General features: G+C 57.2%; 1 protein-coding gene and 1 long non-coding RNA gene across 5 annotated transcripts, besides 8 other annotated features; one reads left to right on the forward strand and one right to left on the reverse strand.

Annotated features, from left to right (window-relative positions):
* Window positions 39–997: an enhancer, noted in NCBI's record as "H3K4me1 hESC enhancer chr17:72946212-72947170 (GRCh37/hg19 assembly coordinates)". NCBI's record gives its function as "activates a minimal SCP1, AML or CMV promoter by ChIP-STARR-seq in naive and primed H9 embryonic stem cells {active_cell/tissue: H9 hESC(naive and primed)}" and the evidence as "EXISTENCE:reporter gene assay evidence [ECO:0000049][PMID:30033119]".
* On the reverse strand, window positions 664–22,681 carry HID1 (HID1 domain containing). 4 transcript variants are annotated; one of them, XM_005257226.3, is made up of 19 exons: window positions 22,513–22,681; window positions 14,405–14,554; window positions 13,662–13,832; window positions 12,887–13,000; window positions 12,156–12,262; window positions 11,795–11,911; window positions 9,948–10,170; window positions 9,803–9,859; window positions 8,833–8,973; window positions 8,595–8,685; window positions 8,249–8,400; window positions 8,063–8,141; window positions 5,714–5,878; window positions 4,060–4,287; window positions 3,467–3,573; window positions 2,928–3,008; window positions 2,191–2,282; window positions 1,827–1,985; window positions 664–1,555 (listed from the first exon to the last, which is right to left on the reverse strand). In XM_005257226.3, exons 1-19 carry the CDS (start codon window positions 22,576–22,578, stop codon window positions 1,492–1,494), a joined length of 2,364 nt encoding a protein of 787 aa, XP_005257283.1. In that variant the 5' UTR covers window positions 22,579–22,681; the 3' UTR covers window positions 664–1,491. The 4 variants fall into 4 exon arrangements, with proteins under 4 accessions (XP_005257283.1, NP_085133.1, XP_047291717.1 ...); NM_030630.3 differs by having other exon boundaries at window positions 12,887–13,003; XM_047435761.1 differs by lacking the exons at window positions 664–1,555; window positions 1,827–1,985; window positions 2,191–2,282; window positions 2,928–3,008; window positions 3,467–3,573 and having other exon boundaries at window positions 4,218–4,359; window positions 12,887–13,003.
* Window positions 10,360–10,429: an enhancer, noted in NCBI's record as "active region_12723". NCBI's record gives its function as "activates an Ori minimal core promoter by ATAC-STARR-seq in GM12878 lymphoblastoid cells {active_cell/tissue: GM12878}" and the evidence as "EXISTENCE:reporter gene assay evidence [ECO:0000049][PMID:35858748]".
* Window positions 10,440–10,709: an enhancer, noted in NCBI's record as "active region_12724". NCBI's record gives its function as "activates an Ori minimal core promoter by ATAC-STARR-seq in GM12878 lymphoblastoid cells {active_cell/tissue: GM12878}" and the evidence as "EXISTENCE:reporter gene assay evidence [ECO:0000049][PMID:35858748]".
* Window positions 10,440–10,930: a biological region, named in NCBI's record as "Sharpr-MPRA regulatory region 11423".
* Window positions 10,636–10,930: a silencer, noted in NCBI's record as "tiled region #11423; HepG2 Repressive DNase matched - State 12:CtcfO". NCBI's record gives its function as "represses a minimal TATA promoter and a strong SV40 promoter by Sharpr-MPRA in HepG2 cells {active_cell/tissue: HepG2}" and the evidence as "EXISTENCE:reporter gene assay evidence [ECO:0000049][PMID:27701403]".
* Window positions 13,221–13,721: an enhancer, noted in NCBI's record as "H3K4me1 hESC enhancer chr17:72959394-72959894 (GRCh37/hg19 assembly coordinates)". NCBI's record gives its function as "activates a minimal SCP1, AML or CMV promoter by ChIP-STARR-seq in naive H9 embryonic stem cells {active_cell/tissue: H9 hESC(naive)}" and the evidence as "EXISTENCE:reporter gene assay evidence [ECO:0000049][PMID:30033119]".
* Window positions 14,786–14,944: a silencer, noted in NCBI's record as "fragment chr17:72960959-72961117 (GRCh37/hg19 assembly coordinates)". NCBI's record gives its function as "represses an EF-1alpha promoter that drives an FKBP-Casp9 reporter gene in an ReSE screen in phorbol 12-myristate 13-acetate-treated (for megakaryocytic differentiation) K562 erythroleukemia cells {active_cell/tissue: K562(+PMA)}" and the evidence as "EXISTENCE:reporter gene assay evidence [ECO:0000049][PMID:32094911]".
* On the forward strand, window positions 20,611–25,650 carry HID1-AS1 (HID1 antisense RNA 1). The gene is made up of 3 exons (NR_110878.1): window positions 20,611–20,714; window positions 24,490–24,652; window positions 25,088–25,650. It is a non-coding gene; the product is annotated as an HID1 antisense RNA 1 (long non-coding RNA).
* Window positions 22,636–22,745: a silencer, noted in NCBI's record as "silent region_8947". NCBI's record gives its function as "represses an Ori minimal core promoter by ATAC-STARR-seq in GM12878 lymphoblastoid cells {active_cell/tissue: GM12878}" and the evidence as "EXISTENCE:reporter gene assay evidence [ECO:0000049][PMID:35858748]".
* Window positions 25,651–25,935: the final 285 nt, after the last annotated feature.

The following is a 25,935-nucleotide window of genomic DNA, read 5'->3' on the forward strand; positions in this document are numbered from 1 at the left end:
GGGCTGGGACAGTCCTGCTTCCGGGCCAGGAGGGGTCTAACCCAGTTCTTCCTTGGTCTGATCCGGGGGAAGAGGTGGGAGAGACAAGTCCGGGCTCGTGTCTCTCCACCCCCACCCCTCCCCAGCACACCCTCTCTCTAGGACAGAGCCCCCGGTGACATTCTGCAGCGGGCTCACCATGCAGGCTGTGGCCCCTGGCTGCCGGTCCCAGGCCTGGCTCATCTCCTGAGCCATCAGGTAGGGCAGGAACGGAAGAGAAAGGGCAGGTGTGGCAGGCCATCCGTCTCCCTGAGCCCAGTGCAAACAGTGGGCTCTGCCTGGGACGAGGCCAGAGAGGGCAGCCCTGGCCCTGCAGGTGAGGCTCTGCCCTCCTCCTCACCCACCCCCACCGAAGTGAGTCACTAGCAAGCATAGCCCTCCCAGCGCTGTCTCAGTGGCTGCCTGGTGAGGCCCCATGGCCTCTCCTGTGGGCTCTTTCTCTGGGCAGCAACAGCCCAGGGGCCCAAACCCTAGGTGACAGGGTCTGATCCTGCTTTCCCACCCAAGAAAATAACAAATGCTGGTTCCCAGTCATGCACTGGGGGCCCTCTGGGGTGCAGAGTCCCCAGCTCCCCTGAAGACAAGAGCCACACCTGGCCCCTCGCCTCAACCACAGAGTCAGAATGTGGAGCAGGAGGTTTTATTGTAAAGAGGCCGATTGTACAGAGCAAAGATTGTTCTGACACGGGGGGCTGGGTGGTGGGACCCAGAGGCCAGAGCTGGGTGAAGGATGAGGGGTGGCATCGCCCCATCCAGGCAGTGGGCAGGGCAGGGAGGACTAAACGGCTGCCTCCCAGTTCCCTTCCCTGCCCCTCATTACTGGGTAAGAGGGAGCCAGGCTATTTCCATGGATCCAGGAGAATATAGCAGGAGACCCTCACCACCCCACACCATGCCCCAAGGATACGGGAGGTGCCCCAGTCTGGCTTTTGCAGTCGGCCAGCTCCCAGCCTCCTCGAGGAGCAGCCTGGCCACACCTTTTTCCCCTGGAGCCTGGAACAGCTGGCTTTGGGTTAGGAGGCTGGAAGCACCCCCTTACCCTGTCCAGGCACCTCAAGGGACAGCCCGTGGTTCCCTGGTCAAACCCCTTAGGGCACAGTGACCCATTGGCTTCTGCCTCTGGGGCTGGGTAGCACAGGAGTGGGTGGGCACTGAGGGGCCAGCACTGAGCCAGGTCTTAAAGAGGGAGTCCGAGTGTTGGGGGCAGTGGTCTCTGGTGGGGGCATAGCCCCAGAGATGGGGCTCCTGTGAGTCCAGCCTAGGGGTTGAGGGGGATCTGAGCCAGTTCACATTGTCCTGGCCACAGGGGTCTCTAGGGCATGACACTCAGGGCCACTCTGCCTGTTCCAGGCCCTGATCGTGGTAATTTAAAGCTCAGAATGGTGGATGGGGGAAGCCTCAGGGACCAAGGCCCTGCCTTCCCCTAGACTGAGCCCCTCGTCGGCTTCATCCTCACACCCGCTGTATCTCAAACAGCTTCACGTCGGTGTCGTACCAGACAGGGGGGTCCACATTCCTGTGGAGGAAATGGGGGGTTACCCAGGTGCTGGGGCACCTTGCAGACAAGGCACCAGGAGGAGCTGGGCAGCAGGAATGGCCAAGCCAACCCTTTCCATCCCGATGTCCCACCCTGGGCAGCGGGTGCCACCGTCAACCAGGCAAGGCCGCCTTAGTTGACTGTCTTGACATGAAGTCCACCATAGGTGGTGGGGCCCAGAGCTGAGGTCCCTGTTGAGCCCTGCTGGGCAGGCTCTCAGGTGGACACCACCCCACTCCCCGGGGCCCACCTCAGATAGATGACGCCCCACATGTAGGTGCGGAACCACATGGCAGTGCCCGAGTTGGCCTGGTACTTGCGGATGAGGATGGGGTGGGGCACGGGCAGCAGCCCCACCAGGGTGCCATGCTGCAGGAACCGCAGGATCTCAGACTCATCCGTCAGGCCCCTGCGGGGAGAGGGGTATCTCCAGCACACTCACGTGGTCCAGGGGAGCACGGGGCTCACCCTGGCCACCCAAGACCCATGTTTCCCATCACACGCCTACCTAAGCCTAGGCTGGCCCCGCCCAGAGCCCACCTGCCCACACCACCGGCCCCGCCCACAACCCCGGCCCCGCCCACAACCCCCGGCCCTGCCGGCGCCCGACTCACTTGTCAATGCAGATCTTCTCCACCTGCGGAACCAGCACCTGCAGCAGCCTCATGATGGTCTGCAGCGGCAGCTTCGACTTCCAGGAGAGGACCTGGCGAGGGACGGGGTTCCTGGGGCTGAGAAAGCAGCCCCCGGAGGCTGCGGGGCAAGCCTGACCCTGACCCAGAACCACAGGCTCCCCAAGGCAGAAAGTACCCCTGCTCCTTGCAGCATGAGCCTGGCACCAAGCAGGACCCGGGAAGAGTTAATCCTTATTGATGGCAAGCGCCATGGCCCCGCGTTAAGCCAGAGCTGTGCCACGTGCCTCTCGGGAGACTGTGGCCTTTAGCCCTCACAACAGCGTGGTCAGGCAGGGACGGTAATTATCCCTGTCCCAGCGCAACTGGCGTGATCTCAGGAGACACAGGGCGTGGGGATGAGATTCAGGGGAGGAAGTCGGAAAGAGTGATTTATTAAGGAAGAGAGCACTGTGGGCACCTGGAGCTTAATCCTGCTGGGGACTCTGGCAACAGTGTAGACAGAGGAAGCAACCGAGCCAGAGAGGCTGAACACATGGGATGTCACCAGCCGGAAGGACCGACCCAGAGTCAGGCTTCTATGCTAGGGTCCTTTGATTCGGACATCTTGCCATCTTCACTGAGCTTCCCTGGGCCAAGGAGCCCCAACCCAGCTCCCGCCTCAGTACCATCTGCCCAAACCCCAGCCCCCGCTCGCCTGGCACAGGGTCCCTCCTCACCCACTCTGGCGTTGGGCTCCACTGCCCACTGGCTGATGAGGTGGACGGTCGCCGCTGCTCCCTCCATGCCTGGCTGGGCTCCTGGCCCCCAGAAAGGAACAGGGGTGAGGGATGGTGGCGGTGGGTGAGGGGTGGAGTGGGGGGCAATGAGCCCTCTCCACTGGCAGCTGGAAATCCCACAAAGGGGAAGGCCCAGCCCAGCAGCCTTTGCCCCAGGCCCTAGGCCCAGCCCAACCTAGTGACAGGTTTAAGGCCAGCAGCTGACAGGGCAGGCCGGGTAAAGGCCAGCTCAGATAAGGCGGAGGGATGAGAAGTCTGAAGGCCAAGGGCTTCACCGGAACCAGTAAACAAGGGAGGGGTCTGTGAAAGGCCCCCACCCCCAAGGGAGTCAGCAGCGCTGACCCTAATGCCCTGGGCACTGGGTAACTGCCCCTCTGCTGCAGGTGACCCCAGAGTGCCCCGGCCCAGCCCCTACTGCAGAGACCAGGGAGGAAGGGAAGGGCCAGCCACGCCCGGCTCCAGGAGTCCCCGTCACCCACCCCCTTAGCCGGGCTGCCATCCTCCAAGCTCTGCTGGGGCTCAGGTTCCAGGGACCGCAAGGTGCCATCCTCTGACACCTGGGACTTCTCGGTCAGCTTGTCAATGCCTGGGCAGGGCACAGGTGGGAGTGAGGACTCCCTGCCACAGTGACCCTTCTAGCCCTTCCTCCACCCACTTTTTTATTTTTATTTGTTTTACTCCTGCTTCCCTCTGGAACCTCCACCGGCTCTAGAGGCAGTGTCTGATCACTGTAACGCCCTCTCCTGCGCCCATCCCTCCAGAGTCTACACTCGCCCTGAGGCTCTGCCCCCAACACCAAGCTACACATGCTAAGCCCATCCAGTACCCTCCCCCATCCCTGTGCCCATCCCTCCAGAGTCTACACTCGCCCTGAGGCTTTGCCCCCAACACCAAGCTACATATGCTAAGCCCATCCAGTACCCTCCCCCCATCCCTGTTGCCCAGCCCCATCCCCTCGGCTTCCATACATAAGCCATGCTCTTTGCCAGAGATGGGGGTGACACCCCGAGACCATGTCCCTCCCCCAGCCACACCAGTATCCACACTCCTGTCCCATCCACTAGCACCAGACCTGGAGTAGCCACCAGACTGGTCTTGAGGGTGCCTGGCTCTGCAGGGGCAGCGGGGCGGGAGCCCTCCATGGAGGTGCCCTCCTGGGAGCCGGTGCGAGACAAGGGCTCAGGTGTCCGCCGGCGCCGCTGCAGGGCCTTGTGAATGGTGGGCGGGTCCGTGGGCAGGTTGGCCAGCTGGTGGAAGATGCTGCGCTTGCGGATGATGGCGTAGACCAGGTTGGAGTTGCCTGTGGGCAGGGAGCATGCCTCGCCTCAGGGAGGCCCCCTCCAGCTCCCCCCGTCCAATCTGGGTGGGCTTCCTGGAAGGGGGAGTTTGGAGGACAGGAGGGTGTCTGCCCAAGGGGTTGGAGATGGTACAGGGAGCCCAAGAGAGGGTGCTGGGGCAGGGCTGGCACTGGCTGTGTGTGCCCACTATGGCTATCCCAGAATGTCAGGCCTGAGCACCTCACAACACCCCCGCCCCAGTGCCTTTGAGTTCCCGCCACAACCCAGCACTAAACAGCTAACACCTGGCAAAAAGTACAGGCCCCAGCATGGCAGCATCCACGTCAGGCCAGCTGTTAAATATTCTGACTCTCTTCCCACCTCCCCTCGAGCAAGGTGGCCAGGAGAAGTCACAGAGGATCCGTCCATCCCCCAACGCTGACTTCTCCTGGCTCTCAGGCCCCAGTCCCCATCTCTGGTCCTGCCTTATGCCATACTCTTCACTTTCAGTTCCAACATCCCACCCCAGGGCCTTTGCATGTGCTGTCTCTTGCCCCACCTTACCCCTATTTCTCCCTCAGAGATCACTGCAAATTTGCCCGACTTTGGAAATAGCAATAATAGAAACTGATCATTTTTAAGTTGCCAGGCACTGTGCTAAGTGCCTTCTGGGGGTTATTTTGCCCCATCTTCCCAACACCTTCTGAGACCAGGACCCTTAGAACCATTGTTATGAGCACCTTACAGATGAGGGAACTGAGGATCAGAGAGGTCAAGTGACGTGCCCTGGTCACAGGGCTAACGAGTGGCAAGGCTTGAAGTGACAGCAGGCAGCCGGATGTCTGTGACACTGGGCAGACGGGCTGCTAAGATACCCATCAGGGACTTACTACTCTGTACTTCCCTTTTATCACATTTCAGGCCAGATGTGGCGGCTCATGCCTGTTATCCCAGCAGTTTGGGAGGCCGAGGCAGGCAGATTGCTTGTCTCTATTAAAAATACAAAAAATTAGCTAGGTATGGTGGGGGGCGCCTGTAATCCCAGCTACTTGGGAGGCCGAGGCAGTAGAATTGCATGAACCTGGGAGACGGAGGTTGCAGCGAGCCAAGATCGCGCCACTGCACTCCAGCCTGGGCGACAGAGTGAGACGCCGTCGGGAAAAAAAAAAAAATTTCAGATGTCCATCATCTGTTTGAAGCCTCCTTCCCTGCCTCCATCCCCAGCTATGAGCTCCACAGGGCAAGAAGCAAAGCTTTGTTCCCCACTGCATCCCCTGCACCCAGGTACACTGTAGATGCTCAATAAATGTACACTGAATGAATGAACTGGGGGCAGAAGGCAAGCAGGCCAGCACCTCCCAGAGGCCACCTCCTGGGCTGTGCCCCCCTTATGTAGGAAGTAGGCCCGCTGGCCACCCTGACCACCAGGGCCTCAGGCTGGTGCCTCACCATCAAACTGGTACTGGATGATGTTGTTGAAGACCTCCAGGAGGAAGAAGACCAGGTGGTGGTTCTGGGCGGCAGAGAAGAGGAACCAGGTGGTGGAGAAGGCCTCCAGCAGGTGCAGCAACTTGTTGGCAGTCACCATGGACAGGCTCTTGAGGTAGGGGGACACTGTAAGGGAGGGGTCAGCTCACTCCTGGGCCCCTCAGCCAAGCCATCCCTGCACATCCTGGGCCGGGGTGGAACAACAGGCTCCTGCTCTCAATCCCTCCCTGCCCCCTGCAGAGCCAGGACGACCAAGGCCCTAAGAGGCTGAGTCCACACTGGCCATACTGTGTGCAGAGTCCTGGGAGGCAGTTAGGCCCCACCCTCACCCCTCGACCATGAAGACAGCTGTCCTGCTTATAAAGCCATACACATCCCACCCATGCCAGTCCCCCCCATACCACGAGGGAGGCAGGACACAGACAAGATCATCCCCATTTTACAGACATGGAAACTGAGGCTCAGAGAAGGTTGTAAACTTGGCCCAAGTTCCCCAGTAATGAAATGATCGGGCAGGGATACAAACTCAAGACTTTAAATCTTTCTAGAACGTCAAGCTGCCATGTCACTAGAGGTGTATTTTGGGACCCAACCCTGGGGGCACACCCAGACTGAAGTTCCATGCTGATCTGAACACTTCCTTGTCTTGTGTCATTTTCCCTCACTAGGCTGAGGGCTCCACAGGGCAGGGACCAGGGCTGTCTTGGTCACAAGTGTGTTCTCGGAACCAGCTCAGTTAAGATTTGTGAGATGGAGCCAGAGAGTGAACCAGGAGGGGAAGGGACAGTCCTGACCCCAAAGCTCACAGCCCAGCTAGAGGCCTCTACCACCGCACACTACCCACCCTGCAGTCTAAACCAGAACACAGACAGACCAGCCACCCCTAGCCACAACCATCCTCTCCAAAAGATGTTCACACTGAAGGCATTTTGCCCCAGCCCATGGCCACCTGCCTTGCTAGGTCCTGAACCCCAGGGAGCCTGGCTCCTTCTGCTTCCTCTCCCCAGCAGCTGTGTGCAGTCCTTGCTGGGTGGGGGTAGGGGCTGGACAGGGAGGACAAAGGCAGAAAGGGTGGGGCCTCCACATCCCCATACACTGTGACTCCAAATGTCCAAACCTGCACTGCCCAACACAGTGGACATCAGCCACGTGTGGCCATTTCGTGCTTGAAACACAGCTAGTCCTAACACGTGTGCTGCACATATGAAACACACAAGAGGCCAGACACAGTGGCTCACGCCTGTATAATCCCAGCACTTTGGGAGGCTGAGGCAGGAGGATCATTTGAGCTCAGGAGTTCAGGACAAGCCTGGGAAACATAGTGAGATCCCGTCACTATAATTAGAAATAAAATGAAATATGGCCGGGTGTGGTGGTTCACACCTGTAACCCCAGCGCTTTGGGAGGCCAAGGCAGGCAGATTGCTTGAGGCCAGGACTTCAAGACCAGCCTGGCCAACATGGCAAAACTCTGTCTCTACTAAAAATACAAAAAAAAAAAAAAAATTAGCCAGTTGTGGTGGCACATGCTGTGATCCCAGCTACTTGGGAGGCTGAGGCATGAGGATCACTTAACCTGGGAGGTTGCAGTGAATGGAGATTGTGCCACTGCACTCTAGCCTGAGCAACAGAGAGTGAGACTCTGTCTTAAAAATAAAAAATAAAATAAAATAAAATAAATAAATAAATAAAGTAAAAATGTTATCGGACTACCAGTGGCTCCCATAAACTGGGCTAACCTCCTTCAGATGTCAAAAAAAATTGTTAAATTTTTTTTTTTTAAAAAAAGGCCAGATGCAGTGGCTCATGCCTGTAATCCCAGCACTTTGGGAGGCTGAGGTGGGCATATCATCTGAGGTCAGGAGTTCGAGACCAGCCTGGACAACATGGCAAAACCCCGTCTCTACTAAAGATACAAAAATTAGCCAGGTGTGGTGGCACACGCCTGTAATCCCACCTACTCAGGAGGCTGAGGCATGAGAATTGCTTGAACCCAAGGGGCGGAGGTTGCAGTGAGCTGAGATGGTGCCACTGCACTCCAGCCTGGGCGACAAGACTGAGTGTGAGAAGGGAATATTAAATATCTCATTAGTAATTTTCATATTGGCTACATGTTGAGATGATGATAGATAAAACATATTATTCAATTGTTGTCACCCTTTTTTTTTAATGTGGCTACTATGAAGGGTACACAAGCTTGCGTTCTTTCTGTGGGCTGGAGGGGCTTGAAACCTGGAGCAAGTGGCAGGTTGGCCTGTGGCCTGACACCACCTGGTGGTGAGCGCGGGGAGTGCAAGCTCCGGGCCCCTACCGTTGACCACGATGGTGAGCAGGCAGTCGAAGAGGGGCTGCAACCGCTGGTGCCCGCTGGTGATGATCTTGTGGAACACCTGTGCCAGGAGGGACAGAGGCACCGTGGGGTCCCCGCTGCCTCCAGACTCAGCCAAGAGGACACCACCCCTGCACCTCCTGGGCCCGGCCGCACGAGCCCCCTCACCACAATGAGCAGGTCGGCGTGGGTCCCTGTGAAGACTGGGATGTCCATGGGCACGCGGATTGAGTAGGGTTTGTTCAGCCGCACCCCGAAGTTCCGCTCCCCGCTCAGAAGCAGCAAGATGAAGACACCAATGTGCATCAGGCCCACCCGAGCTGCGGCAGGTGGCGTGGGAGGGGTCACTCGGGTGGGAGGGGGAAGGAGGGGCCCAGGCAGTGACCATTTTGGAGGCCTCCCTCCTAGGAGGTCAGAGTGCCAGGCCTGAGCTCCTGGGAGTCAGGGCAGATAGCCAGCCCTCCACCTCGCCGCCAGGAAAGCCCCCAGCATCCCACCCCCACCCTGGTCTTACACTGATCGGCCCGGGCATCGTTGAGGAAGAAGAGGATGGGGACAAGGATGTCTAGGACGTCGCTGCTCTTCAGCACGAAGAAGAGGAATTTCTAGGGGTGCGGGGAGGGGCCAAGTGGGCTGAGTTCAAGGGAGGGGCAGCTCTGCCCCACCCCCCTCAGTCTGACACTGTCCCTGCCCCCGGGTTATTGGGGCAGCTGCTCTCCATCTCCCTGCAGGGCCCCTCGAGGCTGGCCCACCTTGTTGAAGTCGCAGAGCTTCCAGAAGAGAACTAGCAGCTCCTGGTGGAACTGGATCTTCTTGGTGGAGTTAGGCAGGTAGGTCTGGAGCAGGGGGTTGGACAGCAGCCGGGCTATACCCTTGAGGATGAACTGGAAGTCCTGGGGGCGAGGGCAGAGCAGGGGGCCTGTCCAGCCCAATCCCTGCAGCTCCAGTTTCCCAGCCCAGGCCCCCAACAAATCCCCCCCTCCATCCCCCAGAGCCAGATCCCACCTCCAGAGCCAGAGGGCCCAGATGCTATCACCCATAGCTGTCCTGGGGCGATGCCTCAGGAAGCGGAGTCCCTCATAGCTGTGGACAGCCCTGGCCCCTCCACTAGACTGCAGACTCTCTGTCCTTGGGCTGTGCGCCCCTTGAGCAAGGCTGCTGCTCTCAGTGAACTCCCACACATGCACACCCTCAACCTTGTCCCTGCCCACCTTGGACTCATGGTTGGCAGGTTCCATCCTTCTACCCCTCCCCAAAATACTCCCCCATCACCCCATCACAACTCGAGGAGCATTCCACTGTTCTGTCATTTACTGAGGCCTGCCACTAGCTGGGGTGAGAAGGCAGCTAGGGTCCTGTGTTTTAGCTGCAGAAGTTAGAACTCTGGGAGTTCAAGCACCTTCCCACCAAGATCACAAGACACATGAACTGGGACTGCTTGGCCTGAAGCCCTTGTCCACTGTCATTCCCCTTTTGTCCCCACCACCTCTGAAATGACATCAGCCACCTCCTCCTAGAGGCCTTCCCAGTTACCTCTACCCAGGTGAGGCCATCAGCCCTTCCTGCATCTTGAAACCCTCACAGTCCTGCCACTATTTCACCTAGGGTGGCCCCAGCCCACAGAGAGCATGGTTCCTTCATGGAGGGGTCAGGATCCCCCATATCCCTGTCTCACTTGCATCCCCCTGCACCCTGCAAAGCCACTGTGGGGACTGGACTTGCCTCCTCACGATGGATGCGGGACAGGTAGTTCACAAACAGGTTCTCAGGGCCTGGAGGCTGCCAAGAGGAGAAGCCCCTGGTGAGCAGGCGTCCTCCCCACAACCCGTGGCCCCGGCAGCTGTCCCTTCCATGCTCCCATCCTTACATCGGCATCATCCATGGCGGTGCCAGTGGTGGTGCCGTCCACAGTGGGGCTGGCACTGCTGGCACTGTCGTGGTCCAAAGTGACAATGAGCACCTGGGCAGCCTCCTCCACCAGGGGTTCCCGGTAGTCAGAGAAGAGCAGGTGGTTGTAGGGGATCCCGTAGCCCACAGGGTCATAGGCACACACGGTGTTGAGGAGGGAGGTGAAGAGGGGCAGGGCATGTCTGCAGCAGGAGAGGGACAAGGCTGCAGAGGCTGCACTGGGGCCCAGCCCCCTGGCCACACCTCTCTGGCCACGTGGGAAGGTCAGCCTCATTCAACAAGCATTTTAGCACCACGTCAGGGAGTGGCTTGGAAAGAGTGGGTGTGGGAAGCCCAGAGCCATGATTAGGACACATTCATACCCCTTAGGGTCTTAAGGGGCAGATACCCTCCCTTGGGTCCTCAGAGATGGGAATGGAGGCCTGTGGAGAAGGTGGGCTTCCCCTCAGGGAGCAGAGCCCACGCTCAGCCAACCAGCTCCCAAGCCACAGAATGACTCCACTCAGACTCAAGAGATGTCAGGGTTCAAGCTGCTCAGCTTACAGATGAGGAAGCTGAGACCCAGAGAGGTTAAGTGAGGGACAAAGGGTGGCAGTTTGCCTGATAAGGCTGGTGAGAAAGAAAACTCTGGCCAGCCTCGGACTGTGGCTGGTGGAGGGGGTCGCCTGGCTCCCTTCTCTTCTGGAGTAGGGTGGAAGGTTGAACAGAAGGCTAGGAAACCTGAAGAATAAGGCGTGTCATGTAGGGACCAGAGTCTGGAAGGCGGAGGTCGACCGCCACCTGCCGGGCACAGACCCTATGCAGCCAACACAGCTCCCAGTGGGAGCTACCTGCTCAAATACTCAACTCTGCCACGTGGCACGTGTGACACCCTCCCCCCACCCCGTGCTCACGTGTCCCCCACAGTCCATGAGTGCCCCATGTGGGCTGGGCCTCCCTGCCCTTCGAGGTATTTGTCACACACTCCCCGACCCGGTCTCTAAGCTGCAGAGTCCCACACAGCAGCCTCAAGCCACAAGGAGCTGTCGAGCCCTTGGAATGTGGCTGATCGGAACCAAGACAAATACACACTGGATTTTGAAAACTTAGTATGAAAAGGGGGATGTCAAACAGCTCAGTAATGTTGTATACTGATTCCATGTTAAATGCTAAAGTTTGGGGTATATTGGGTTATATGAAATATATTATTAATTATTGTATTTATTTATTTTTTTTTTTGGAAACAGAGTCTCACTCTGTCACCCAGGCTGGAGCGCAGTGGCGCAATCTCGGCTCACTGCAACCTCCGCCTCCCGGGTTCAAGCGATTCTCGTGCCTCAGCCTCCCGAGTAGCTGGGATTACAGGCACCCGCCACCAAGCCTGGCTAATTTTTGTATTTTTAGTAGAGATACGGTTTCACCATGTTGGCCAGGCTGGTCTGAAACTCCTGACCTCAGGTAATCTGCCCACGTTGGCCTCCCAAAGTGCTGGGATTACAGGTGTGAGCCACCGCGCCTGGCCCAATTTTACTTTTTAACTTTTTTAATTTTAAAATTGCACTCGTGGTTTGCATTCTATTTCTACTGGACAGGCGGCTCTTGATGGAGGACCCAGGGACGGATTACTGAGGGGCCCCCAGATTCTGTCCTGTCGAGGACTCCAAGGAGAGACGGGGCTAGTGTGAGGTGTGGCTGGTAAGTTAAAGTTCATCACCACCAGGGGGCAGCACCTCCCCTCAAACGAGACCCAGAGCTGGCGAATGGACTCAGCTCTGGATTGCCTGGAATAAGAGGGAAGAGAGCGCAGAAAGGCCAAGGGCCCTTCACCTGTTCTCCGTGGAACAAAAGAACTGAACCCATGGGTTGGTGCTGCCACTTTCCGGAGCTGGGGGCAGGTACATGGCCTCGGAGAAGCATGTCAGCAGCAGTTTCAGCAGCTCCATCCTTGTAGGAGGAAGGGGGAGGGCACCTTAGGATCCCAGTCCCCTCTTGGAGGTTCTGCCCACCCAGCCCAGCGCCCCAGCCCAGGTCCATGGAAGGAAGTTACTCCCGTTGACCCCTGTAAGGTCAAGGTCGGGTCATAGGTGAGGACGGTCTTCTGGGAAGACCCCATGGGCTTTCTGAGCTGTGCGGGGGCCCGGCCCGGGGTCCAGCTGCATTGAGGGCTCCGGGCCTGGGCGAAGCTCACCGGTTCATATCGTGGATGTAGTTAGGCTGGGGGGAGTGAGCGAAGCCCACACCAGCCTCCCAGATGTATTCACAGCTGTCCAGGGAGTGGACGTCCTCTGCCGAGTCCTGGGGACAGGCCAGGAAGAAGCCGGGTTAGGGGGTCGAGAGGTGAACAGCAGCCTGGGTCAGAACCTGGCCACCTCGAGCCTCACACAGTCCCAGGGGCAGAGACCGCCAGTTCTCCTAAAGACAGGTCCTCAAAATGGCCTGGCCCTCATGCACAAGAGCAGGAGTGAATATTCTTAGGCCTCTTGAAAGCTCATTTTTCTTCCATCTCAGACTGGTTCTTTCACTTGCTCAGTCCAGTTTGGGACAGGGAGAAAGGGAGGGAGGGGCAGGGGATTGGGTGCCCCGGGTTTGGGGGTGGGCAGAGAAGACTCAAGGTGAAGTCCATGCCACCACAGGAAGCAAGAGGGCCAGCCCTCCTGTGTCTGAGCCCCACACCCCTGGGCAAGCAAAGACAATGGGTGTCTGTGCCCAGCCATCCGAACGCAGCGGGCAGGGCCAGCCCCAGCTGGCTTCCCTCAGCTGTACCAGCTGCCACCCAGGCCTACATGTGCCAGGCAGCTCAGCTCTCCTGGAGCCCCCCGGCCCCCAGTGCAATCCGCCCAAGGGAACTTCAACTGGCCCGGCCCCAACCCAGGACCAGAGCCTACTCCGCCTGGGGGTGGGGGGCTGGGGGACACTCACCACAGTGCTCCTCCGGTGGCTCTGAACCGTGAAGTCCGGGCAGAAGAGCAGGTCAGCAATGGCCAGGAGCAGGGACTCGGCCAGGGGCCTGGCATGCTCATCATCCTCTTCTCCCTGCTGGGGACACAGCACCCACAGGCTGCCTCAGTGATAGCTGGCCAGGAAGAGGTGGCCCAGGGCTTGGGGGTGGTGGAGGACAGGGGCTGAGCCCAGGCGGGCACCCATGGGCAGAGGAATGAAGGGACAGGAAGTGGACTCCTGGTTGCCCCAAACCTCCCAAGGCAGAAGTGGGGCACAGCAGGGAGCCGGGCCGGGAACAGCGAGGGAACCTCCCCTACTGACTGGAGGGGGCCGGGCGGTGACCCCAACATCAAGAGTCTCAGCCCTGCTAGGAATCACTGTGTTGCATCCCTCAGCACCTCACCTGGACATAAACCCAGGGCAGGTGGTGTGGGGGAGAGAGGACAGTGTGGTCCCTCTCCGGCCCTCAGAGGGCCCAGCTCCTCTGCCTCCACCTCTGCCCAGTGACCCCTGGCTCTCAGCTTCTCTCCATACCCTACTTCCTCCAGACTGTGGGCACAGAAACCCCCATGGGAGGGGAACTGAGGGCCCAAGGAGGTGGCATTGAACACCATCCCTCAGCAGCACCCACTGGCCCCACCCCTGTACTTCCCAAATCCCAGAAGAGGCTTGGAGGAGCATGGCCGGCCCTAAAGGGCGCTCTCCCTGTGACGCCAACTCTGCCTCCCACCCAGCCCTGGCCAGGCCCACAGACCCCTCCTCGCCCTGCCCCGGGCACTGTGGACCAGAAGAAGCCCCTCCAGTCGGGGTCCTCAAAGATGTAGGGCAGCACGCGGGTGAGCAGCCGGCTGCAGTTCAGGACGATCTGCTTCTCCTTCTCCGAGTGGCAGCCACTCTCAGCTCCCTGCACCAGCTTCTCAACGGCCTGTGGGGGCAGGCAGGAGCAGAGGGCAGGCTGGAAGGTGGGGAAAGGACCCTGGCACTTGGGGTCAGGGTGGGCACCCAGGCTGCAGAGGAGGGTCAGGGGGGGCACCCAGGCTGCAGAGGAGAGACAGTGGGGCCACAGGCAGAGGAGCCACCTGGAGTTGGGGTCGGCCAGCCTTGGGGGACTGGGACACAGGCCAGAGCAGCTTGGAGCATCAGGACAGCCAGGGCCCAGCTAGCCACTGGATGGCTGAGGCCTTGCTAAGTGAGTCTCCCAGCCTCAGTTTCCCTATCTGTAAACTGGCGACCCTGGCAGTACCCACCCCACAGAGGGAGCTAAATGAACTGATCTGTGGAAGGTGCTCAGTCAGATGTGGCCTGGAGGACTCCCCCATAAATGACGGCTGCCGTGGTCCCAACGCCCAGCAAAGAGAACCACAGAGAAGTGGAAGAGCTGAGTGAGGCCACAGGGCTGCCTGCCCCTGTGGGGCGGGAGGCCCTGGATGCGCCTGCCTTCTCCTGCTGTGGGCTGGGAGGGTGGAAGAGTAGCAGGAGGGACTGGGCAGCCCTCACCTTGTAGCACAGGGTGGCCAAGTTGGAGGGTGACTCTTCCCGCACGGCCCGGATCTCTGCTGCCGGCACCAGTGCAAACACATCCTGCACCGAGGTGGCTGTGTCTGCCCAGAACTGGTCCCAAAAGGCATCATCGGTGGCTTCCACGGGCTGTGGGGGGACCAAGGGTCCAGAGTTACACAACTCCTGGCCAGAGGGCCTACACTTTGCCCAACTTGTGGCCAGGAGAGACCCTGAGAGGGAAGCCAGAGTCCCCCTACCTGCTGGGGTCCCAGAGCCATCCCACATGGGTGGGGGACATACTTCAGCCACCACAACCCCTGGACAGCACAGTCAGGCTGGAGACACCAGGCATGCATGGTCAGGGGTCAGCTAGGCACAGAGTCAGCCAAAGCCCAACGCCACCCCTGAGGAGGTGTGTGACCCTGGTTAAGTCACCATCCTCCCCTGGCAAAGCAGGCTGACCTCCCCACCTGGGCACAGCCCCAGGCCACACCATTAGGTCAAATGCTCAGGGATCCAGGTCAAGACCATGCCCTCTCTCCATGGGAAGAAGACAAAGGTGACTTGTACTCCGTTTCCAGTCACCCAGGATGCCCGCCACAGGCCTCCGGCTCTGCCCTCTCACAGCACACCCAAAACAGCTGCCACATCTGGTGAATTCACCTCTGTGGCTCTCTGACCCCAACACGCCCCTCTCAGCGCCCACCTCCAGCGCTGCAGCTCAGGCTGCCCTTGCCAGGGCTGCCAACTTCAAATCCACCTCTTTCAACCCTGCCTCTATGCTGCTGCCAACGCATGCACCGAGGTGGCATCCTGCATGCACCACGGCACCGCTGCCACAGGCACTGCTTCCTCACCCAGAGCCCTTCAGGGGCTCCCCACTGCCTGCTGGGACAAGTCCAAACCTCAGCCCAGCACTCAGCCAAGATCTCACAGAAACATGCCTTACACACGTGCACACAGACACACATGCGTACACACGTGTCATACACACATACACCTGCATTTACTACTCCAGGACTCCACCCTGCCATCTCTTCTCTTGACCTTCACCCAAGCTGTTCTCTCTTCCCCCTTCCCCTTTTCCCCACAACAATGCATTCCAAAATCCATTCCCACGGAGGCAACAGGCCTTAAAAACACACATGCCCAGCCAGGCACAGTGGCTCATGCCTGTAATCCCAGCACTTTGGGAGGCTGAGGTGGGTGGATCACCTGATCAGGAGTTCGAGACCAGCCTGGCCAACATGGTGAAACTCTGTCTCTACTAAAAATACAAAAATTAGCCAGGCGTGGTGGCAGGCGCCTGTAATCCCAGCTACTCGGGAAGCTGAGGCTGGAGAATCACTTGAACCCAGGAGGCAGAGGTTGCAGTGAGCCAAGATCATGCCACTGCACTCCAGCCTGGGCAACAAGAGCAAAACCCCATCTCAAAAAAAAAAAAGTACACAAGATATAAAACTTCGTCTAGGATGCTCACAATTCATGTTAAATTATACATGAATAAAAGACTAGAAGAGGCTGGGTGAGGTGGCTCACGCCTGTAATCCCAACACTTTGGGAGACTGAGGCGGGTGGATCACAAGGTCAGGAGTTCAAGACCAGCCTGGCCAAGATGGTGAAACCCCGTCTCTACTAAAAACACTAAAATTAGCTGGGCATGGTGACGGGTGCCTGTAATCCCAGCTACTCAGGAGGCTGAGGCAGAGAATTGCTTGAACCCAGGAGGCAGAGGTCGCAGTGAGCCGAGATCGCGCCACTGCATTCCAGCCTGGGTGACAGAGCAAGACTCTGTCTCAAAAAAAAAAAAAAAAAAAAAAAGACTAGAAGAAAATGAACCAGAATGTTAGTAGCAACTCTCTCTCTGGGTGGTTTTATATTTTTCTTTATGTTTTTCTGTAAGAGCACATGTTACTATTTTTTTCCTTTTGAATGTTCATCTGTTAAGGGACCAGAGTGTCCAAGGCACGCGCACCTCCTCGGGCCCATCCCTTTATGGCTCCTTCTGAGTGTCACTTCCTGCAAGACACCTTCCTGCTTTCTCCAACACAGCTTTTTTCCTTCTCTGAAATCCTACAGCCAATAAAACCTGAGGTCCCTGCTACCACCACAAGCCTGCACTTCATACATGTTACTCTTATCATCAGAAAAAAATATATATCTTATTTAAAAATAATTCTGGGGCCGGGCGTGGTGGCTCATGTCTGTAATCCCAGCACTTTGGGAGGCCAAGGTGGGAGAATTGCTTGAGCCCAGGAGTTCAAGACCAGCCTGGGCAACATGGCTTTTGTAGAGACCCTATCTCTACAAAAAATAAAAACAAATTCACCAGGTGGGCCTGCCCAACCTCTAAGGAGGCTAAGGTGGGAGGATCCCATAAGCCCAGAAGGTCAAGGCTGCAGTAAGCTGTGATGGCACCACTGCACTCAAGCCTGGGCAACAGAGCAAGACTCTGTCTCAAAAAAGTAATAATGGCCAGGTGAGGTGGCTCACACCTGTAATCCCAGCAGTTAGGGAGGCCAAGGCAGATGGATCACAAGGTCAGGAGTTCGAGACCACCCTGGCCAATGTGGTGAAACCCCGTCTCTACTAAAAATACAAAAATTAGCTGGGTGTGGTGGTGCATGCCTGTAGTCCCAGCTACTCAGGAGGCTGAGGCAGAAATCGCTTGAACTCGGGAGTTGAAGGTTGCAGTGAGCCAAGATCGTGCCACTACACTCCAGCCTGGGTGACAGAGTGAGACTCCATTTCAAAAATAATAATAATAATAATAGGCCAGGCGCGGTGGCTCACGCCTGTAATTCCAGCACTTTGGGAGGCTGAGGTGGGTGGCTCACGAGGTCAGGAGTTTGAGACCAGCCTGGCCAATATGGTGAAACCCCTCTTTACTAAAAATACAAAAATTAGCCAGGCATGGTGGCACATGCCTGTAATCCCAGCTACTGGGGGAGGCTGAGGCAGGAGAATCACTTGAACCCAGGAGGCGGAGGTTGCAGTGAGCCAAGATCGCACCACTGCACTCCAGCCTGGGCGACAGAGTGAGACTCCGTCTCAAAAAAATAAAAAATATAATAATAATAATGGCTGGGCACAGTGGCTCACACCTGTGATCCCAACACTTTGGGAGGCTGAGGCAGATGGATTGCTTGAGCCCAGGAGTTTGAGACCAGCCTGAACAACATGACGAAATACCATCTCTACAAAAAAAATCAAAAAAATTAGCTGGGCATGGTGGCACACACCTGTCATCTCAGCTACTTGGGAGGCTGAGGTGGGAGGACTGCCTAAGCCCAGGAAGCTGCAGTGAACCAGGATCGTACCATGGCACTTCAGCCTCGGTGACAGAGTGGTTCACACCTGTAATCCCAGAGCTTTGGGAGGCTGAAGCAGGAGGATCACTTGAGCCCAGAAGTTGAAGACCAGCCTGGGTAACATAGTGAGACTATCTCTACAAAAAAAAAAAGAAAAAATTAGCCACGTGTAGTGGCACGCACCTGTAGTCCCAGCCACTCAGGAGGCTGAGGCAGGAAGATCACTTGAGCCCAGGAGTTCAAGGCTGCAGTGAGCTGTGATTGTGCCACTGTACTCCAGCGTGCATGACTGAGTGAGACCCTGTCTCTAAATATTTAATAATAATAATTCTGGTCTCTGAAGCTACTTCTTCTAAGAAGCCTCCCAGAGCCCCAGGCTTGCTTGCTCCCACCTGGGAACCTCCGGCCCCACCCCACCCCCACCCTGCGTTGTTCCTGCCTCCACAGTCTGGGTGCACGTGCCTTGAAGCCCCATCAGTCCCTGACCTTGCCAGTAAGGCATATGGCAGATATTCAGCCAATATTTGTTCCACTGAAGCTGCGCTCAGTCCTGGGGACCCCTTCAGCCTGGCCACAGAGCAGGGCTGAGCACCCGTGGAACTCTCCAAACTCAGAGTTGGGGTCGCATGCCTCACCAAGGTCCAGGCATACCCCAGCCCACTCCCAGAGCAAACACCCCCACCCCACCCCAGGGAGCTGCAGGGTAACATGTGGCCATGACTCTCAGTCCCAGAACTGGTAGAGCGAGTTCTTCACTGGGGGAGAGGAACAAAGGCTAAAGGAGGGCCCTGGGGCTGGGGTTTGCTGGCCCTTGGGCCCTCAGCCAGGACAGCCCTCTGGCACTCCCTGGAGCGCAGGGACATGGCACCCCAGTCTGGGTGGCCTGGAGCCAGGATGGGGTAAGGAAGGACATCCCAGGAAACCCACAGAGCCATCTGGGAGTGCCTCTGGGAAGCCGCCATCCCTGACACTTTTCCCACCTCCCAGGTAGCTACTACCCCCTTCAAAGGGCAGAAACTAAGCACAAGCAGGCATGACCTCTGACCTAGTTCATCAGGCAGTGTCACCGGGGGACTAAATCCAAAATGAAGAAAGAGACTTACTAGCCCATTCTGGAAGCAGAGGAGAGATCCCAGCCATGACAGATCTCAGCCTTGAACTTTAGGAACAGGACTTTGCCTCCCTGTTTCCTCAGCTTGGGCCTCCTCTCCTGGTCCCACTGTGGCTTGGACATTCGGATTTGGTGACCACCTGCCCAGGCCAAGCTGATGCTACAGGCATTAGTCAGGGTCACTGAGGCCCCTTAGGCTTCTAATGGGAGAAACGTGGCTCAGCGCCTGCCTCAATGACCCCAGTTGGCCTCCACCCAGCCCGCCCAAGGAAGCTTCTAATATCTGATCTTTTTTTTTCTTTTTTGAGACCGAGTCTTGCTCTGTGGCCCAGGCTGGAGTGCAGTGGTGCAATCTCGGCTTACTGCAAGCTGTGCCTCCCGGGTTCACGCCATTCTCCTGCCTCAGCCCCCGGGATTACAGGCGCCTGCCACGACGCCCGGCTAATTTTTTTGTATTTTTAGTAGAGATGGGGTTTCACCATGTTAGCCGGGACGGTCTCGATCTCCTGACCTCGTGATCCACCCGCCTCAGCCTCCCAAAGTGCTGGGATTACAGGCATGAGCCACCGCACCTAGCCAATATCTGATCTTTGAAGGAAGTGTTTTTGCTGGAGGTAGGCAGGCCCCTGCTGCTAGGGCCACAGAAACTGAGCTACCCTGGTAAAAATCCAGGTATTCTTCTCCCCTTATTCTTTTTCTTTTGTTTGTTTTTGAGTCAGGGTCTTGCTCCGTTGCCCAGACTGGAGTGCAGTGGCACAATCATAGCTCACCGTAACCTTGAACTCCTGGGCTCAAGTGATCTTCCTGCCTCAGCCTCCTGAGTGGCTGGGACTACAGGCGCACCCCACCCAGCCCAGCTAATTTTTTTTATTTTTTAGAGATAGGGTCTTGCTGTGTTGCCCAGGCTGGTCTCAAACTCCTGGGCTCAAGCGATCCTCCTGCCTCCACCTCCCAAAGTGCTGGGATTACAGCCATGAGCCACCACGCCTGGCCAAAATCAGATTTTTCTTTTTTCTTTTTTTTTTTTTTTTTTGAGGCAGAGTTTCGCTCTTGTTGCCCAAGCTAGAAGCATGATCTCAGCTCACCGCAACCTCTGCATCCTGGGGTCAAGCGATTCTACTGCCTCAGCCTCCCGAGTAGCTGGGAATACAGGCATGTTCCACCACGCCTGGCTAATTTTTGTATTTTTAGTAGAGACGAGGTTTCTCCATGTCGCTCAGGCTGGTCTCGAACTCCTGACCTCAGGTGATCCTCCCACCTCAGCCTCCCAAAGTGCTGGGATTACAGGCATGAGCCACCACACCCGGCCCAAAATCAGATATTCTTAACCCAGCTTTTCCAGGCCCCTGCTCGGACTAGACCCCCACTCAGACCTGGGGGAGCAGTTGTATCTTTTGACTCTCAGGGTGTGCAGGGGGAAGGTCCCCTAGTCCTCAAGCCTGCTAAGCCTGCTCTAGAGGACTGTGTCACCATGCATTCCCATGCACATACATGTATACACATGTAAATATGCACCCGCCAGGTTCATCTGGCCTGCAGCAGAGAATTCCAAACAGGCAGGATCTGGGAGAGGGTTCCAGGTCTGGGACTGTCTCCCTCCAGAGCCCCACCTACTATGAGGAAGCACCAGGAAACACAGCCAAAGCGGCTGGCTCTTAGGACCAGGGTCAGGCCTGACCCAGGACTGGACCATGGGGCAGGAAGAAAACAGGATGCAGGGCAGGAAGGCGAGGAAGGTGGAGCAGCAGGGATACAGGCCCAGGCCACAGGAAAAGGGGCTAGTTCTGCCTGTCTACTGCCCAAGCCACACCCTGTAAGAGCCTGGAACCACATATCATCCTATGGACAACTGGCCTGAATCTCCTTGGGGACTCCAAGTGGTAAGGTCAGTGATGATCATCTGGGTTCTGATCCTCACACCCAAGCTACCCAAGTCAGGTCACTTACACAGAGTCCAAGGCTTCAGCCTCTGAAGGCCTCTCCCCCCGGGCAGCCCAGGCCCCCGTCCGCCTACAGGACCCAGTGCTCTCCAGAAGGCTGGTCTGATCTCCAGCCTATCCAGGTTCTATTCCAAGCCTACTCAGCTGGGAAACAGAACAGCACCATCTCAAGTGGCCCATCATAGGGCTGTAGCCAGGGAAAGACAGAGGGACACAGTATTTTGGGGAAAAGGCCTGAGCAGGTAGGAATCTAGGCCACTCCAGAGCCTTTGGTACTCTGCTGAGCTGGCCCCACTGGCCTGGCAAAGGACCCCAGCTGCCGAGCCCACAGTGCAATCCTCCAACAAGGAGTTTCTTCCCCAGGCAGGTAAACATGGGAGCCTCCCTTCCTCCCTGCCTCCCCACTCCTCTCCCTGCAGCCCTACACTGAGGGGCTAGCCCACTTGCCACCTTCCCTGCCACCCACAGAACGAAAACCCCATCCTAAAAAAGCCAAGCTCCAGAACGACCCAGGAGCCGTAGGGAATGGAGAGAAGTGCGGTCTGGTTTCTATCAAGAGCCTTTCAGCCGGGGTTGGACTCTCCAGAGGCCCTGGGCATTTGCTGCACATTTGACCCTTCCAGGGTGGGGAAAGGGGTGAGGGAGCAAGGTCTGGCCCCTGGAGCTGTGACCAGCTGGCTGTGGGAGCTGGCTTCCTCCATCCCACTCTAACCTCCAGCAGCAAGAGAGAGCCCTGGAGAGCAGGAGGTGGGGGGGCCAGGAAAGAGGAAGATCCCAGATGGCAGCAGGTCCTGTGTCCCCTGAAAATGGGGGACATGGGGAGTCAGGGCCGAGCATCTCTGTGGCCACGGTGGCCTGATTCAAAAAGCCAGGAGAGAAGGGGTGGGCAGAGAAGCAGTCTTGCTGGGGCCAGGTGGTATAAGGAGGTGGCTATTGGGCCACTTGTGGACTCACAGGAGAGTTATGAGCATGGACTAGGCTGGAGGGTCCTTAGGCCCCTCACCAGCTGACTGAGGGCCATCCTGCGGGTCCCCATCCCTGAGCCAGAGAACAGAGCACACAGGCTAACAGCCTTTCCCTTGCAGGGCCTCGGGGAAGGCCCCTGGAGAGGTCCCCAGCTGGGAGGCTGTGCTCAGTAGGCCTGGGGACAGGGCCCCCCACCAGGCTGCCTCGCTGCCCGCCACTCTTTGCGTGTTCCCAGGAAGACCTGGGCCTTCCCTGCCCACGGGCATCGACCAGGGCCCAGCGAGGCCGCTGCCGCGCACACCAGCTGTTTCTCCGACCCGGGCGGACGCCAGCCAGGCTTTGTTTGCATTGAGTCAACAGGGACTGTGCGTCCGGGACCCGCGGGCAATGAGGGGCAGGGAGGGGAGCGGACGGTGGATGGGTGGGTGGGGGCGGCGGGAGGCTGGAGATGCGAAGCTGGGGACGCCGCGGGGCGGGACAGGGGGCGGACAGCTGTGTCGCCGGCTCGGGGAGTAGGCACACGTCAGCCTAAGGTGGCAGCAGCGGCTTCGGGGAGAGGGGTGTTCCCAGGAGAGGAGGCTGAGGGTGGGGGACTAGGGCCAGGGGATGGAGCTTCCAGGTACAGGCCGCGGGGTCCCGTTCCGGCGCTGGCCTTGGCGTTACGCTCGGGGCCCGCCCGTCCCCCCATCTCCCGACGAGCCAAGTTCGCGTACCCCCGGCCCTGCCCAGCCCCCAGCCCGGCAGGTGGATGGGGACGCCGGGGCCCCCGTGGCGCACCTGCGTCTTGGTGGTGAGCTGGATCACCGCCTTCCGGAAGTTCAGCTTGGAGTCGGTCGACCCCATGTCTCTGGAGCCCGCTCCGGCCCGGCCCCCGCCCAGACTCCAACCCGGCTCCGGCTTCAGCTCCGGCTCCAGCTCCGCGGCCCCCGCGGCTCTCGCAGGAGACAAGCGGCGCGCCCCGCCCCCGGCCCTCGTCGGCCCCGCCCCGACAGGCCCCGCCCCCGCGTGGCTCCGCCTCCTGCACCTGCAGCGCCCGCCGCCGAAGACCCGCGGAGTCGGCGGTTCCAACCCAGCGCCGCCGCACGCCGGGTGCCTTCTCAGGTCCCACCCGGAGCCTCGACGCTCTTCCTTCTGCGTCGGAGCATTGTACCCGCCTCCGCTGCTACCACGCAGTCCCCAGGGCCCAAAACCCTCCTCGCAGCTCGTCCCCCGCCCCGGTCCTCACCCTTCATCTCCGCTCCGGCTCCTGGCCCACGTCTCAGCTGGCCCTCTCCATCCCACTTTCCTCCTTCTCAGTCTGTCTTTCCCATTCATGTTTTCTGAGCATCCACTCTCTTGGTTCTCCCTTTTTCTGACCTGTCAAACCCACGTGTTCAGACAGTCCCGCAGGCCCTTGGTTATGAGGGAGGGAGGCGCTGACTCAGTTTCCATACTCCAGGAAAGCAGCTCCTCGCCTTGCTGAGCGCGAGAGTCCCTCGCGGTCCCGACCCCTCTCTAGCCACCAGATTCCCAGAGAATCCTTTGAGATTCATCCATTTCAACAAATGTGCTGAGGGTCTGGTATTTGCCAACTCTGTGTCATGGACGGACACAGCGGACATAAGTAGTACAGCCTGCTCTTTATGGCGAGCAGCTAGGGAGAGGGATAAGGAAAGAAGCGGCCAGGGTACAGCCAAATAAGCCTGTAATAGAGGCAGATTAATCATCAAAACAAGGCCGGGTGCGGTGGCTAACGCCTGTAATCCCAACACTTTGGGAGGCCGAGGCAGGCGGATCACGAGGTCAGGAGTTCGAGACCAGCCTGGCCAACATGGTGAAACCCCGTCTCTACTAAAAATACAAAAATTAGCTGGGCTTAGTGGCGCACGCCTGTAATCCCAGCTACTCTGGAGGCTGAAGTAGCAGAATTGCTTAAACCTGGGAGGCAAAGGTTGCAGTGAGCCGAGATCACGCCACTGCACTCCAGCCTGGGCGACAGAGCAAGACTCCATCTCGGGGGGGGGGGGGGAATCAAAACAAGACGACAATGACGATATCTCTAATAGCTACCTCTGAGGTATTATTTTATCCCCATTTTACACTTGGGGAAAATGAGGCTTAAAGCAATTACTTGCCCAAAGCCACACAGGTAGTAAGGAGCTCATCCAAATGAGGCTGCGCTTTTTCCACAACATCATTTTGCAAGCTATGTCTGGAAGCTTCTGGAAATCTTGGATGCTTTTTTATTTTTTATTTTTTGAGATGGAGTTTCGCTCTGTCGCCCACCCAGGCTGGAGTGCAGTGGCACAATCTCAGCTCACTGCAAACTCCACCTCCTGGGTTCAAGCAATTCTCTTGCCTCAGCCGCCCGAGTAGCTGGGTCTACAGGGGCCCGCCACCACCCCCAGCTAATTTTTTTTTGTTTTTAGTAGAGATAGAGTTTCACCATGTTGTCCAGGCTGGTCTTGAACTCCTGACCTCAAATGATCCGCCTGCCTCAGCCTCCCAAAGTGCTGGGATTACAGGTGTGAGCCACCATGCCCAGCCCTATTATTTATTTATTTATTCATTCATTCATTCATGCATGCATGCATGCATTTTGCAGACGAGGTTTCACTCTGTTGCCCATGCTGGAGTGCAGTGGTGCAATCATAGCTCATTGCAGCCTCGAATGCTGGGACTCAAGCAATCCTCCTGCCTCAGCCTGCTGAGTAGTTAGGACTACAGGTGCACACCACCATGCCCAGCTAATTTTTTTTTTCATTTTTTGTATAGACAGGATCTTGCTACATTGCCCAAGCTAATCCCCAACTCCTGGCCTCAAGGGATCCTCCCACCTCAGCCTCCCGAAGTGCTGGGATTACAGATGTAAGCCACCATGCCTGGCCCCTAGATGCTTCAAAAGGATGTGACATTCACTTAAAGAGGAATTCTACAGGTGAAAAATGAGGGGCACGCCATCTGGGAGCAAAAGTGTGGCAGGGTGGAGCGGGTGTGGAGGGAAAGAGGAGTGCGAAGGGTGTCGCCATTTCACGGAACAAACAAACTCCACAGGGCAATGATAGGGTAGCTCTAGCCTTTCTCCGGAGGTGGGTTTTCCCCGCCCTGGGCAAAATCCTTGGCAGGTTTCATGGCTTTTCTAATCATTCCAAGATAATGAATGAATAGTTCCTTTATTTGGCATTAAAAAAAATCCAGTCTATTCTACAAATCACTCAACCGCATTCCAGGCCAGAGTGACATTAAAAACTCTCAATCATAATCATTAGGGAAATGCAAATTGAAACCACAGTAAGATAACACTACATGGCTAGCACAATGACTTTCAAAAGCTGGCAACATGCTAACAGTTTATTTCTTTATTTATTTTTAGTTTTTTGAGACAGGGTCTCCCTCTGTCATTCAGACTGTGCAGTGGCATGATCACAGCTCATTGCACCCTCTACCTCCAAGGCTCAAGCAATCCTCCCACCTCAGCCTCCCAAGTAGCTGGCATTACAGGTGCACACCATGACGCCCGGCTAATTTTGTATTTTTTATACGGATGGGGTTTTGCCATGTGGCCCAGGCGGTCTCAAACTCCTGAGCTCAAGCGACCCTCCTGCCTGGGCCTCCCAAAGCATCGGGATTACAAGCAGGAGCCACCGTGCTCAGCCTTCAAAAAGAAGAAAAAATAATAAAGGCAAGTGAAGGTATGAAGAAGGAGGAGGAGAAGAAGGAGAAGAAAAGAATTGAGAACTCTTGCTAACCAGCCACTCCGGGTGAAATTTTGACCCCTTTGGTCTTGCCCATCACTCAGAGCCATTTCTGTGGCTTGCAACCAGGAACTCCCAAGTGACATGGAAATATTACTGGATTTAATTGAGTCCACCCTCACCTAGCCTCAGGGGCTCTTCTACCACTCAGATGGGCATTCTCCTCCATAGATCATCTTTTTTTTTTTTTTTTTTTTTTTTCCGAGACGGAGTCTCGTTCTGTCACCCAGCCTGGAGTGCAATGGTGCAACCTCGGCTCACTGCAACCTCCACCACCCAGGTTCAAGCAATTATCCTGCCTCGGCTTCCCAAGTGGCTGGGACTACAGGCACATGCCACCATGCCCGGCTAATTTTTTTGTATTTTTAGTAGAGACGGAGTTTCACCGTGTTAGCCAGGATGGTCTCAATCTCCTGACCTTCTGATCCACCCCCCTCAGCCTCCCAAAGTGCTGGGATTATAGGTG

Source organism: Homo sapiens, chromosome 17 (genome assembly GCF_000001405.40).
Source record: "Homo sapiens chromosome 17, GRCh38.p14 Primary Assembly".
NCBI classification, from domain to species: Eukaryota; Metazoa; Chordata; class Mammalia; order Primates; family Hominidae; genus Homo; species Homo sapiens.

What these genes read in the sequence shown, in the direction of transcription:
- HID1 (NM_030630.3), bottom strand. Translation starts at nt 22,578, where the DNA reads ATGGGGTCGACCGACTCCAAGCTGAACTTCCGGAAGGCGGTGATCCAG. An exon ending in GCCACCGGAGGAGCACTGTG is followed by an intron (nt 12,263 to 12,886) that starts GTGAGTGTCCCC and finishes GCCTGTCCCCAG; the next exon opens with GACTCGGCAGAGGACGTCCA. An exon ending in GCTCACCATCGTGGTCAACG is followed by an intron (nt 5,879 to 8,062) that starts GTAGGGGCCCGG and finishes CCTCCCTTACAG; the next exon opens with TGTCCCCCTACCTCAAGAGC.